The 14912-nt window shown below is 38.8% G+C and overlaps 1 protein-coding gene across 2 annotated transcripts in view; it reads right to left on the reverse strand.

Annotated features, from left to right (window-relative positions):
* Positions 1 to 3245: 3245 nt before the first annotated feature.
* Positions 3246 to 14912, reverse strand: part of QRFPR (pyroglutamylated RFamide peptide receptor) — a 52377-nt gene continuing 40710 nt past the window's right edge. Inside the window, exons 3-6 of one of the 2 annotated variants that reach the window (NM_198179.3) lie at positions 11411 to 11472; positions 7425 to 7660; positions 5030 to 5127; positions 3246 to 4318 (exon numbers count right to left, since the gene is read on the reverse strand). In NM_198179.3, coding sequence (NP_937822.2) covers positions 3918 to 4318; positions 5030 to 5127; positions 7425 to 7660; positions 11411 to 11472 — 797 coding nt within the window. In that variant the 3' untranslated portion in view covers positions 3246 to 3917. The other variant, XM_017008693.3, reaches the window with a different exon arrangement.

Consider the following 14912-nt stretch of genomic DNA (forward strand, 5'->3'; position numbering starts at 1 on the left):
AATGCTGGGACTACAGGTGTAAGCCCCTGTGCTTGGCCAGGAATGGAATTTCTGGGTTGCAGAATAACTGTTCAATTTATCAGTTAATTGTTTCCCACATAACCGTGTCATTTTATATTCCCACCAGCCATGGGAATTCCAGTTGCTCAACATCCTTGCCAACACTTTTTAACTTTAACTATTCTAGGGGGTGTGTAGCACCATCTTACTGTTGTTTTGTTTTGCCATTTGTAATGACTATTGATGTTGAGCAGCTTTTCATATGCTTATTGATTTGTGTTTCTTCTTAGGTAAAATGTTTGTTCAAATAATTTGCCAAGTTTATTACTGAGTTGTGAGAATTCTTTATAAATAATGCATTTGTGGTCTTTACCAGATGTGTTTTGCACATATTGTCTTATAATCTGTGGCTTGCCCTTTCATTTTTATAGCATTACCTTTCAAATAGCAGAAGCTAATAATTTTGACAAAGTTAATTTTATTAATTTCCTTTTATGCTTCCTGCTTTTAGTGGCTTATGAAATCTTTGCCTAATTTATGGTACCAGGATTTTCTTCTATATTTTATTGTAGAGGTTTTATAGATTTAGCTCCTATGTTTAAGTATATGGTGCATTATGAGTTAATTTTTGTATGTAGTGTAAGAATCAAAGTCCTATTTTTGGTACTTGAATATCCAATTGTTCCAGAACCTTTTGTTTTAAGGTTATCATTTCCCCCATTGAATTATGCTGCTACCTCAGCCAAAATAAGTTGATTATATATTTGCACCTTTTCTTCTGGTATCTTTATTATTTTGCATTTAGCTAAATATCTATCCTTAGGCCAATGACACATTTTCTTGATATTTTAATTTATTGTAAGCCTTCAAGTAACATAGTATAGGGCCTGAAACTGGGTTTCTCTTTTTAAAATGGTCTTGGGACTAGTAATTAATCTTTAATCAAACTAGTATGTATAACACTGGTGTTCTGAACCATATCAAACTATGGCAAAAAAAGGAGCTACCCTTCATAGTATAATCAAAAGGGACATGAACTGTGAATATTTCTCAGAAGATCATATCTATTTATAGAGTGGAGAAAAGATACTGACCTCTGTTTGGCACAATGATCCATAATGAAATAAAAGGCTTAGAGGTCTGAGCGGTGAAACGTACTTTTTTACTGCTTTCGCAAATGTTTTACCTAAATGCTAATAGATGAAAAACTAGTTTTCTGTACCACTCCCAACCCTACCTCCTGGATCCAACAAAACCTTTTCAATTTTCACTCCAAGCACCAGGTAAAGGAAAACCAGATGGATAAAATGAGTGACAGGCAGCCTGTGGCAGAGACAAAAGGGGAAAAAAGCAGATGGCTGAGTAGAAGACAAAGGGAGTAAAAGACTCAGGGACTGTAAAGTCAGGGAAAAGAGAACAAAAGGCAGTAGTCAGGTTCCTTTTGCAAATCCAGGGTGAACTCTCTATGCACTCACAGGCTGTGTTATATCAGTGTATGGACTCAACGTCCAGATGAGACTCACAGCTTCTTTGGCTAATAGTAGGACATTTTCAGGAACAGATTGGACCACATTTACCTTTTGAATCTTTATAACAGAGCAAAGGGATTATATGTTTAAAGGACAAAAACAGTGTGCTATTACTACTTCTGTTTCTAAAACAGCTTTGATGCAATGTAAGCAAATTTTTTTAAAAAAAAAAACCTTTCATAAGATGTCTGGAAATTTTACAGTAAATATTTAAGGTATTACCTAATATCTAAATATTTAGGAATTAAAAGAAACTTCTAACCTTAATAATTACATGGTCAATAACAGTGCTGATTTATCTGTTTTTCATTAAGTCATATTTAGAGCATGTATACACCAAATGTAGAAAGGATTATATGAATATTTACCGACTGAGTAAGGATAACCAAAATCAGTGAATCCAATTCATTTTTAATGGTTTAATGTTTAATGATAATCATTGTTTTGCCATAGGGTAACTAGACCTGACAGGCAGTTTATATAAATAACCCATAAATAGTCCACATCAGTAGAAACTAAACAATCAGTCTCTCTCTTTTCTCTTTGTGAATTTTGCAGTGTCATATTGACAATTTTTCATAATACTGCACACTGCTTCATCTTTGTCTTTTTCAGGCATGCTTCACTGACATATAAAAAATTAAATGTCTGTATCTTGAAGATCCCAATAGTTAGTTCCTTGGTTACCAAATCTTAAAGCTTTACCTGTAAAATGTCCTATAGGCTCTTAAGCTTCTCTTCCTTTCTATTACCTGGCTGGGAGAGTAAGTGCTAGAAAACTGGAAGCAGAATAAACACTGGCTGTGAGGTTGCGGCTGGACTTTGGGAGTCTTAGCTGTTGAAAGGAAAATGACAGGGTGCTGTGATGGTGGCCTCTGTATCCATGACATTTGGGAACCAGAGAGAAGATTGAAGAGACAAGGATTGCACTTAAGGGAGGCTGGGGGAAGGAATATGGGTGAGGAACTCTATTTTCTTCCTGACCTAGCTCTTGAGGGTCAGCCTTGGGCACAGTACAATTTCATGGGCTTGGAGTTGATTCACTCCCTCATCTACTAACTGCACAGAAAATTCCTTTTATATAAGAAATCCCATCAGTGAAAATAAGGGGCTTAAAAAGATAACCCTATGTGATAGTTTTGTCTAAATATATCACAGAAATGAGGCTCCCCAAACTTTCTTCTTTTGATTAGAGAAACCAGTTACAACACAGATATGAAGGGAAAGTTGGGCAGGGGTTGGGGAGAGTCTCAGAAAGGAAAAGAGAACACAAACGGGAGATGTGAGACATGGGGAGCTTATGCCTCAGAGCTTGAGGCTGCTTTAGAGTACAAAGGGCTTGTCTGCTCATGCCTCATTTTATTCTGGCAGCAACTCCGTGAAGTGGAGGGGGCATCACCTCCAGTTTACACAGGAAAACATGAAGGCTTAAAAAGGCGACGTTACTTGCCAGTCATACAACAAGGCAGCAAGGTAACTGGCAGAACCATACAAAGCTCCAGTACAGGCATCTTCCTCTAAGTCTCATTCATCCGTCACTTGGCTGCTTCTCCCTTTGCTTTGACTTTATGATTGTGGCACAGACCTCATGTGTAAGAGACTGTATTACCTAAATTCAACAGTGCACTAAAAATCACATTACAGCATTGAAGTATTAACTTAGTTTTCAAGGAAGAAGATATTATTTTATTTTCTTATTCAATCTAGCAATACATAGTCACATTACAGTGACTGCGTGGGAGAAAAACTGCTAGCTAAGAACCCTGATTTCTGTACAAGATTTTTAAAAATCCACTGAAATAATCTTAAAAGTATGGTTTACGAATTTTTCAAAAAAATTTTTTTTGAGACGGGGAGTCTCGCTCTTTCGCCCAGGCTGGAGTGCAGTGGCATGATCTCGGATCACTGCAAGCTCCGCCTCCCGGGTTCACACCATTCTCCCGCCTGAGGCTCCCAAGTAGCTGGGACTACAGGTGCCCGCCACCACGCCCGGCTAATTTTTGTATTTTTAGCAGAGATGGGGTTTCACCGTGTTAGCCAGGATGGTTTTGATCTCCTGACCTCGTGATCCGCCCGTCTAGGCCTCCCAAAGTGCTGGGATTACAGGCATGAGCCACCGTGCCTGGCCTTCCATGTTGCTTTTTTAAGGCTAGTCAAGTGAAGCAGTGGGAATGAGAAGGAACACAGAAATCTGTTAAATGATTGTGATCAATTGGTTGTAAACATCACTGCACTTGGACTAGCCTCGTGTCATTTTTTAATGGAAACATGATTTGTTTTCTTCTTGTCATCATCTTAAGAATAAAAAGAGTATTTGACCTTTGCTCAAAATAATTTTCTCTTTGGGTTACAATCTGAAGGGCATTAATTATGAAGATATTGTTATAATTAATGCCCACTGTCTAAAGGAGAATTCTCAGCCAGTTCAGACCTAAAGAGAGCAAGATGTCGTTTGAGCTTTTTCTTCTCCTCTGTCTGTTCACACAATTTGACTTCAATGTTGCCATCACTGAATGCTTCTCCTTTGGTTTCCTCCACTGGATTCTCTCTGAGGGAAAACTTTGCTTTCTTCCGCATCATTGTAATTCCTGAATTTCCATGCCTTTGTGCTGGAGAGAAGGTTTTATTTACTATGCAATAACAAACTGCAGACAAAACATTTTTTTTGAAGTTTTCATTCATAAATGCATAGACAATGGGATTACAGATGGAGTTGGAAAATCCAATAATTTGCACGATAGCAAAAATCATCTTGATTGTGACATCATCATATTCCTTTTCAAAATTACCTGAAATAAAGTAATATTTTAGAATGTACGTTTATTTTAAGGAGTATAAAATAAAACTTCTGTTTGTCACCTGTCAAAGACTTAAACTTGTACAAGTATCTGAAGGTGTGAAAAGTTCTCAAGATCGTTTTGGGAGAGGCATCTGATATCTGAATAAAAACAACCTTTGTGATGAGTCTTCACTTAGAGAATCTAGGTTTACATGCGTAGCCTGGTGTCCAGCATATAGTAGGGGGCTTATAGCATTGCAGCTTGATAACTCCAAGCTTCATGTAAACTGGAAGCAGCAGTAACCCTTCAAATGTTCACTTGCCTTAGAGAAACAAAATCATACTGAGAACCATGGTAAGTCCTGGGTTATCAGAAAGAATATACTGCAGGTCTGACTGTTCAAGTCAGGGTTCTAAATGGGAAATGCTAATAGGATGTCACTCCTTTCCCAAAGTTTAAATAGCCTAGGGAGAACAGAAGGAGTAACATGGGAGAGGAATCTCAAAGCTTTGATCTTCTGTAATTATTAAAGATTTAGTCATAGTCATACACAATGACCTACCACATAATGACCTTGTGATCTTGAAGACATGAAAGAAATATATGAAATGTTAGGTATTTGATTATCCAAGTGAACAGCGACACATTTCAAAGATTCATTGTCTATTCTAGCAGGAAATGAATGAGAATGTCTATCAAATGAGAATGACAAGCACTCACTGTATTCAATCATCATATGGACAACATGGAATGGTGCCCAGCACACAGCAAAGAGAGCCACCACTGTCACCATCATAATGACAGCTCGTTTCTTCTTCCTAAACCCACAAGGAAACATTGTATTAGTTAACTTCTCCTTGGCAAATGTGCCAGCTTGATAGCAAAGCTATTAAAGTCTGAGCTTAGTTCACTCAAACATAATTTTTAAATTAAGCTCACGATAGGTTATTCGTGGGCTGATTATCATCTTTTCCTATTGATATTACCCTCACATCATAAATGTTCTTTGAATGTCTGCTCATTATGGATCTGGCACTCTGCTAGATGCATGACATGGATAATGTCATTAATTTACCCAATAAGGCATTTGATAGATGCAGAAATTGAGACACACAGAAGGTTAATTAATTTGCGAAGTTAGATGGCTAGTAAAGGCTGTATCTTGGATGTGAATTTAGGAAGTCTAACTTCTGTGACTTCAATATGAAGCTCTTACTCACTTTATATTAAAGAGCATTCATGCCTGTGGTAGTAAAATATCAATATTTATAAAATATGGGCCAGGTGCAGTGACTCACGCCTGTAATCCCAGCTCTTTGGGAGGACAGGGCAGGAGAATTTAGTGAGTCCAGAAGTTCAACACCAGCCTAGGCAACATGGCAAAAACGCATCTCTACCAAAAAAAAATTATGAAATATGGGAAGTTCCAGGGATATAATTTAAATGGATATCTATACGATATATCTTGGGTTTTTTTTTTTTTTTTTTTTTTTTTTTGAGACAAGGTCTTACTCGGTTGCCCAGGCTGTAGAGGAGTGGTGCAATCATGGCTCACTGAAGCCTCAACCTGGGCTCAATAAGTGATCCTCCCACCTCAGCCTCCACGTAGCTGGGACCACAGGTGCATGCCACTACACCCAGCTAATTTTTAAATTTTTTGTAGAGACGGGGTCTCACTTTGTTGCCCAGGCTGGTTTCAAACTCCTGGGCTCAAGCAATCTTCCAACTTCAGCCTCCCAAAGTGCTGGGATTCCAGGTGTGAGCCACCACACCCGGCCTGATATATCTTAAAAACATGATTAACCAGGGCTTCAAACTAATTTTCTCCATGACTTCTGTAAAGAGGATTTACATCTGCAAGAGCTCTACACATTTGCATGGTGCTTTAAGTTTATAAAAACTCATACTCATTATCTCATTATTATTATTATTATTATTATTATTATTATTATTGTTATTATTATGGAGATGGAGTCTTGCTCTGTCACCCAGACTAGAGTGCAGTGGCGTGATCTCGGCTCACTGCAACCTCAGTCCATCAGGTTCAAGCAATTCTCCTGCCTCAGCCTCCCAAGTAGCTGGGATTACAGGCACCCACGACCACGCCTGGCTAATTTTTGTATTTTTAGTAGAGACAGAGTTTCACCATGTCGGTCAGGCTGGTCTCGAACTCCTGACCTCAAGTGATCCACCCACCTCGGCCCCCCAAATTGCTATGATTACAGGCGTGAGCCGCTGCACCTGGTCCATTATCTCTTATTTCAACATGGCAGCTCTTTCTTTCAAGTAAGTGGGAGGAACCAACTTAACGATAGGTCCCAAGGTGCGGACAGTCTAGGAGCCCCTGTACATTGACAAGAAGGGTTTCTTTATTCAAACTGAGCACTAGAGCACTAGAGATCACTGCACACTTGGAGAGATGATAAAATCCCACCAAATCACCAGACTCCTCCATTTAAGGCTTTTTTTTGCTTTGTTTCTAATAGTCATTCAGTGTAGGTTATTAAATAAATGATATGGACTACAAGTATCATAGCAGTAAGTCATGTTTTAAAATTTCTATTAATGAATAAATTCAGAAAGCAAAGCCCTTAGGTAAAAATAACTCAATAATAATAATTTAAAATAAATAGCATGCTTCGGTTTCCAAAGGATTTTCATACAGATCAATCTCATGTCTTTTAGCATTATCCTTGGGTGGGATTAACTAAGGATGGATGTTATTATGCTCCTTGTACATATGCGGGAAGCAGGGCCTTGGGAGTGAGACTGATGTATATCTTGTGGCTGGTGAGTGATAGAGAGAGTACCCATAGGACCACAGGGTTCTGACACCAGCCCACAGTCTTCCTACCACATCATGTATGTTCTAAATTCCAAGTCAGTTTCTACCTATAGCTGTAACTTCCCAGTTGATTTGCGAGCTGGTAGTCTTGTTGTTTCTTTCAGACACATGTAAAACTTCAAGAGTTTAAAATCAGTCCATGCCCTAAATTTGAATTGCAAAGGATGCTTAGACTAAATTACCTAGAGGTTCTGAGAGCCCTGGCAACCATCCCTTCCAGCACAATTAATTAAAAATAATTTAAAGAGGTGAATATTTCATTAAACAGACCTGGCTATTTTGGACATTTCTTTTCCATGAATAGTTCGAAGCACTGAACCATCCCCAACTCTTTTCTTTATCCAAAGTTCATAACCAATTTTACTGTACAGAATAAGCATCACCATAAGAGGCAGGAGGAAGAGGATGACAAGGATGAAGGTGGTGTAGATCTTCTGGTGCACAGGGCTGGTCCACTCTTCTAAGCAGCAGATGTGTTCCTTTTCATATAGGAAGTCATATTTGATCTTCATAATAAGAATAATTCATTAAAAGAACCAGTAGTCAGCATCAAAAAACAGAAATCAGCCAAGTATTATTGCAACACAACATTTTTTAAGTTCTTTCAAATTTGTCCCCAGCACGTATTTCAAATGAGATACATTTTTAATTGTTCTTTTGTTGTGAAGCATAGTTTTTCCACTTCACTGCTTAAGTTCTTAAGAGTTTTATACCAGCTTTTCTATTCTAAATGGAATTCAGGTCCATAGCCTGTTTACTTTCATTTATTGTCTTTCTCAACTTCTATTTCCACTAGTCACAAGTTTTCAATCGACTGAAAGAGCACTATATTTGCCAAAGTATATACTGAAAAATATTTTGCAATACATGCTAGGTAGTCTAATATTAAATTATTTTGCTTCTTCAATTGTTGAGACAGATTTTTGACAAGGCATGAGACATCTTTCAATTGAAAAGTACTGAAAGCTGCGTTTTGTTACTGCTACTTCATATATTGCAATGATCAGATTGCTTAGAAAGATATTAAAGAGGCAACTGGCAGCTTTTATCCTGAGATGAATGAGAAATTGGGATTCAAACTATTGCCAATATACAAATATTCAGATTGTACCTGCTGGTTTATTCGTACTATTTCTGGTAGACTCATCTTATAAGCTCAAAAGTATTATTAACAACAATAATAAATAATAGAGAGTGCTTTAAGGGCTAGTTCAAGAACAAACTAAATATTTAAAGCATATTCAGAAGTCACTTTTTTGGGTAATAGGAATAAAAACGAGAATATTTATCAAAACCATTGTTATTTTAGTTACTGTGGAGCTGAATACTTGGGTCTCAGACATATTTCTGCCTACATTCCCAGGAAATTTTATCACCAGTCTTCAATGTGAATTGAATGAGGGACAGCAACTTTTTGGTTACTCATCAAAGGTAAGAAAATTCAAGTTCTGACCTAGGTGTTACTTACAGATGCAACTAGGAATAACACTCACTGAAAAATAATCTCAAGATTCAAACTCTCTGGAAATAGGATGTTAAAATGAAATTCATTCCAACTCCATGGAAGCAAAGCATGCAAAGGCCAATGACCAGGGGGTATGGACTGACACATCTAAGAGCATGCTGAACTGGAAGTCTTGGATCAGGTTCACATAGCCCTAGGGACTACGGACTTCCTGACTTCAGCAAAGTCCTGACTGTGGACTTCAGCAAAGACTTCCTGAGGGTATGCTCAGATGGTTTTATGGAAAATTTCAGATCTTTGATCTTCAATTTCAGATCTTCTATTTCCAAACATACACTTCTCTAAAATTCCACTGCCTAATATCGTCCCCAAGTTTGAAGTGTCACGCTGGGTCTAAATTCCCACTTCCTGTTTCATAATCACCCTTTTCCCAAGTTACAGAAATCACATCTCTCACCCATAATGAATCTTACCACGGGGCACCAAAACAAGACATAATTCAATGACTGATGTCAGTGAAGCCACATTGATCAAGGCATCATAAACACATGGCAGGGCTTTGTGCTCTTCTCTCTCTTAAATATATTTCTATTCAGGGTAAAGCCTGGCAGAGAAAAAAAGGTATTTGACAGGTGTTGAGAAGTTGTGAATTCACATTTTTCATACAGTAAGGAGGCAGGAGCAATGACAATTTTAACCGTCTCGTTGCTTCTATCACTTGAAAATTGATAAATACATCACTCATGAGAGAGACCCCAGTACAAGTGAAGCAGAGAGCGGCAGTGAGAAATGCTGAAGGCAGGGTGCTTTGTATCATCCCTGTGATAAGTTCACACTCACTGCAAGCTCAGGACGATATTAGGCAGTGGAATTTTCGAGAAGCGTACATTTGGGAATAGAAAATCTGAAATCGAAGAGTGAAGATCTGAAATTTTCCATAAAACCATCTGAGCATGGCCTCAGGAAGTCTTTGCTTGTCCTAATAGAATTTAGGAGTGAGAAGGTAGCCATGGGATGCATATTAATACATTTGTTTAATCAGATGTTTTCCTGACAGGAAGCAACTTTGACTAGACTCATCTATTTGACAGTGAGGACTGGCTTTGCCAATGACATGACATGCATTTTCTACAAACACAATTAATTATGTATTTAAAAAATATTTAGGGTATTTTTTAAACATATAAAAACACTTTTTCTATATTAAATAAAACAAAATGTTTTTGTTTTATTTAAAAATGGATACATCTGTTTGTTTTCTATGGGCTAGAAATGGACCACACAATTTAGAACTAGAGTGAATCATTATGAAAAGGCTCCACCAGTCTGGGCTTCCCATTGGAGATAAGGGCAGCATCCTCAGACAGGAGCTGGCATGATCCCTTGCCAGCCCGCTGGAGGTCTCAGTGCTGTTATCTTTGAGAAGTCCTGAAGCAAACAATCAGTCACAGGCAATACTGTCACACCTAGAGGGCATTGATTCCAGTGACATCTGCCCGCTTCCTCTCCCCATTTTCCTCATCAGCTTCTGATGAGAGAGAGGCAGCCAATTGTATGGGGGGTGGGGGGTGGGGCGGGGAGAGGAGTGGGGCAGGGGAGAGAAAAAGAAACACAAGGAGAGGAAACAGAGAAGAAACTGACCATAACTCCTTCACATTTCTAGGCCTGAAAACTATTCACACTGAGGGAAGGGAAAAATTATAAATTGATTAAATAAGAGTATGATTTATGTAATTGTATTACTGGACAGGACAGTTTAATAACAGAACTCACACTATTCTTCTGAGTGAAAGTAACCAGAGAAATTTTATTATCTGACTGGAAGAGTTGCTCAAGATTTTTTCATTCATGATATTTCACCAAGAGGACTAAAAAAGTCCTTAGATGCATTTTTCCAGGTAGCAAGGGATAAAATAAAATTACTTTCTGCTCTCACCTATGGAGTCCAGCTCATTCAACAAATTAGTTACATGAAAAAAATCAGGTTACTTTTTTAATGTTCTCTTATCTTAGGCTCATTTGTTATCCTTGAGGATGACATGACATGGACAGTAAAGTTTCACATTTGCCTATCTCTACTTTAAAAGGTAGAACGGGATAAATCATTTAAAACTTATCTTAGGGGGTATGTAAGCAACCCCCTACCGTCTTTGAAAACTCCTGTCTGGGTAGATCACCTATGCAAGACATGTTAAAGTCCACCCTAACAGACAGGCTGGGCTGTCTGAAACCAACTCAGCACTCTCCTTCCTGTGAAGCCCCACACATGGCTGGGCCTGTCTGACAAAGGTGTGGGGAAAGGAGAGAGGTTGATTAAGATGATCTCCTGATATGTTTCCAGTTAGAATTTCAATGTGTCAATGAATAGGAGGCAGGTAAGAAAGGACTTCTGAGAGTCAACTAAGTAGATAATTTATTACAATTTTTTTTACGTGACTTAAAAATAAAAGAAAAACCTAGAGCAATCATTCAACTCTTAAAATGTAAGAAAACATTTAGGGACACTGGGAAAAGCATACTCAGCTTGCAGGAAAATGTAGAAACTGACCTGTGTATTTTTGAAAAATTGTATTTTAAGCATTAGAGTCCTAACAATGTATCAGGAAGAGCTAGATAAAACAGAGAAAATGAACCTTAAAAAATCATTTTATTCCACTTAAAAGACCTCCAGTGGAATAGCTGAGGTCATACAAATTTGCTGTATTGCTCCTGCAGGAAGGAAAATAATTACAATTAAGAGGGGTGAGAAAATAGTTCAACAATATGATTATACATCTCAACTGGAGTCTACCTCAAGTTGTTGCACGTGCCACATGGGTGATCCTACGATGACTGCCACCAGCCAGACCACACCTGTAAAAGTGTTAAAGTCATGAGAGTATGACTCAGTTGAGTAAAACACATCCATGCATAATTATCTAACCCTCAAGATTCCCTATGAGAGGGCAGCTGTTCTCTGCCCTAGGGCAGTGCCATGGTCTCCCCCAAGTTTCATGCTTCCACTCTTTCACCATCCTCAAAACTGCTGCTGGAATAAACTTCCTAAAACAAGTTTTAAACATTTAATAGTGTTTCACTGCCTACAAGATAAAACCCAGTTTCCTTAGCATGGCCCATGAGGTTCTCTACCATCTCAATTGCCTCTCTCTCCTCTTTCATTTCTGTCCATGCTCTTCACACCGCAGTCCTCTACTGAGGAGCCTGCAGTGCTGGTTTCAGTTTCCGTATCCCAGAATGCACTGCGCCACTCCCTGGCCACCCTATCCCCAGTGTCTATCTGTGGACTCATTTTCCAGGACTTGACTCAGAAATCACCTTCTCTAGGGAAACTTTGAAGGTCACTACTATTTCCAAATAAACTGACTACTAATTCCTTGTTGTCTCTACATGCCCTCTAGTGCAGTGTCTTCGTTGCCCTTACTCACTTCTCAATTTCCTCCAAACTCCTTGAAAGCAAACACAATGCCATTTATTTTTGTGTTTCCTCAAATAAGAGTCCTAGGAAAATTCCTGGCCCTCTGTAGGAGCTGATCCATGTTGGTGGAATGGATGAATAACTTTTAAACATGACATAGACCACTCTCTGTCACCTCTTTTTAAAATCAAATGTACATTTATCTTAAGCACCATAACATGGGCATCACATGTATACATATGTAACAAACCTGTACGTTGTGCACATGTACCCTAAAACTTAAAGTATAATAATAAAAAAAAAAGAAAACAAACACTGATAACTTCAGAAACCAAAATGCTCTTTCCAAATTTCCTGTCTTCCACGAACTTGTTGAGAGGGATTGCTTTAATGATGTACTCTTAGAAAAGAAAAACAGGGATTAACTACCAAGAACAATTTCAACCCGTGTGTTTTAACAGACATGGAAGAGGACGGAACCAAGGGCCCCAACTTTGATTTGGGGGAAAAGTTTCCAGCTCGAACTCTGCTTGTTCTTTCTATATTGGGTGGAACATTAAGAAAACAGTTTATTGCTTTGGGTTTCAATGACTCAATTAAGCCATAATTGGGGTTTATTATAAAGAAACACATAATTTGGTGCTGCCTATAAAAATTCATCATGATCCAATGATACCTGGCAGCTGTAGGACTCACAAGTCTGTCTGTCTGGCTGTCTCTATTTCTCACTCGCTCTTTCTCTTTCTCTTTTCTGCCTCCCTATTACCATACACATCTGTTCTATTTTAATCACATATAGTTATCTTATGTCCAATCATTTTTCTGGGCTTTAGTACAAATTCTGGAGGAATTGAGTCTAATTTTCATAGCTCATTGACTACCTTCCTGGATCCCTGGATGGTTCTGAGATAGAAGGGCTAGAGTTGGATGAACAATACTGACACAGTGACCACATCTGGGCAAGAAAGCCTAGAGGACCTAGGCCAAGCTTGTCCAATCTGCATGTGGCCTAGGAAGGCTTCGGATGTGGCCCAACACAAATTTGTAAACTTTTAAAAAATATTATGAGATTTTTTTGCGATATATTTTTTAAGTCATCAGCAATCGTTAGTGTTAGTGTATTTTATGCGTAGCCCAAGGCAATTCTTCTTCTTCCAATATGGCCCAGGGAAGCGAAAAGATTTGACATCCCCTGTCTAGGTCTAGGCAATCTCAGCTGGAAGGAGGAATGGGGCGTGACTGACAAACACTGACTGACAAGGCTGAATGACAGTGTGACAAAGCTACAGGAGACATTAGACCACAGTTCACAAAAGCCCCCATGGCGAGATGAGTCTAGTTGATTTTAAAACCTTCTTGTTTCCTATGTCTCTTTTGAGTAGGAACTGCCTTGACTGCCTATTATCAACTATGCTTTGAGATGTTGTCACTCGCGCTACTTCTCTTTCCTTTTAAATAACTCCCCTCCTCCATGTAATCCTTTCCTTACTTGCTTTCCATCCCCACATGCTGTTTTCAGGAGTTCTGATGTTGGAAAGATGTCAATTATTAAAAGCCCAGAAATCTCTGAATTCTTAGTAGGAAAGATATGACATAAAATTAAAACTAACTAACTAAAACTAACACCTTTCTCCCCTAATGATTCAGCTATTATTTTCAAGCTATTTAAAATGACTTTGGCATTGCAAAGCCTGCAGGGGTTCTTTCTGCAATTCCACAGCCCAATACTGGCTAAATTCTTACAGCAGAAATAAATGTTTACTCATTCTTCTCAAGTGAGATATTAGTAAAAATTGCTTTATTTGATTATCACATTAGTTGCTTGCTACACCTCTGATTATTTGCTATATTAAATTCAAACTACTGTGAAGCACACTAAGGTTTTAAATGGCTCAATTATAATTACTGAATAGAGAAATGCTTCCATTTTACTGTGTTAGACTTTAGGGCATTGCTTCAAATTTACCATTTATCATGAGGTATGTGTTCATTGTGACTTGCTGACTCAGGAACAATTACAGCAAGCTGACGATCCAGAAATGCCTAAAGGAAAAGTATGAAGTGGGTGGAATGTGCCTTTGCCAGGCATCCCCAGCACTCAGAACCCACTGTTCTCATGTACCCTGTCACTTTCTACCCTTGTGTACTCACCACAAGGGCAGCAACCCTGTTCTCCACTTTTCTAAAACCACATTTCCTGCTCCCTATCATTATCAACCTGCCTGGCCAGGTGCAGTGGCTCACACCGGTAATCCTAGCATGTTGGGAGGCCAAGGAGTACAAGGAGAGGCCAAGGGGGAATGGCTTGAGCCCAGGAGTTCAAGACCAGCCTGAGAAACATAGAGAGACCCTGTTGCTACCAAAAATAAAAAAAATTAGCTGGGTGTGGTGGTGGGCACATGTGGTCCCAGCTACTTGGGAGGCTGAGGTGGGAGGATCATTTGAGCTTGGGAGGCTGAGGCTGCAGTGAGTTGTGATCACACCACTGCACTCCAGCCTGGGCTACAGAATGAGACCCTATCTAAAAAAGAAAAAAAAATCGACCTGCCCTTGTTAGCTTGGCTTGGAGTCTTCTTATCTCAAGATGATAATTCCCAGCTGGGCATAGTGGCTCATGCCTGTAATCACAGCCCAGACTTTTGAGACCAGCCTGGGCAATGTAGTTGACACTCTGTCTCAAAAAAAAAAAAAAAAAAAAAAAAGATAGTTCTCAATCTAATGAGTGTTAATGTGGCAATGCCACTGGTAGGTTATCTTAGATTAGCTGAACATAGTGCTTAAACGTTTAAGATGTAAACTGAAAAAGTATACCCAAAATGATACATTTTCAGTTTTGAGGTCAGCCTAAAAGAGAGATGGTGTGGAGATGAAGGCAAAC

Source organism: Homo sapiens, chromosome 4, assembly GCF_000001405.40.
Source record: "Homo sapiens chromosome 4, GRCh38.p14 Primary Assembly".
In the NCBI taxonomy this organism is placed as follows: Eukaryota; Metazoa; Chordata; class Mammalia; order Primates; family Hominidae; genus Homo; species Homo sapiens.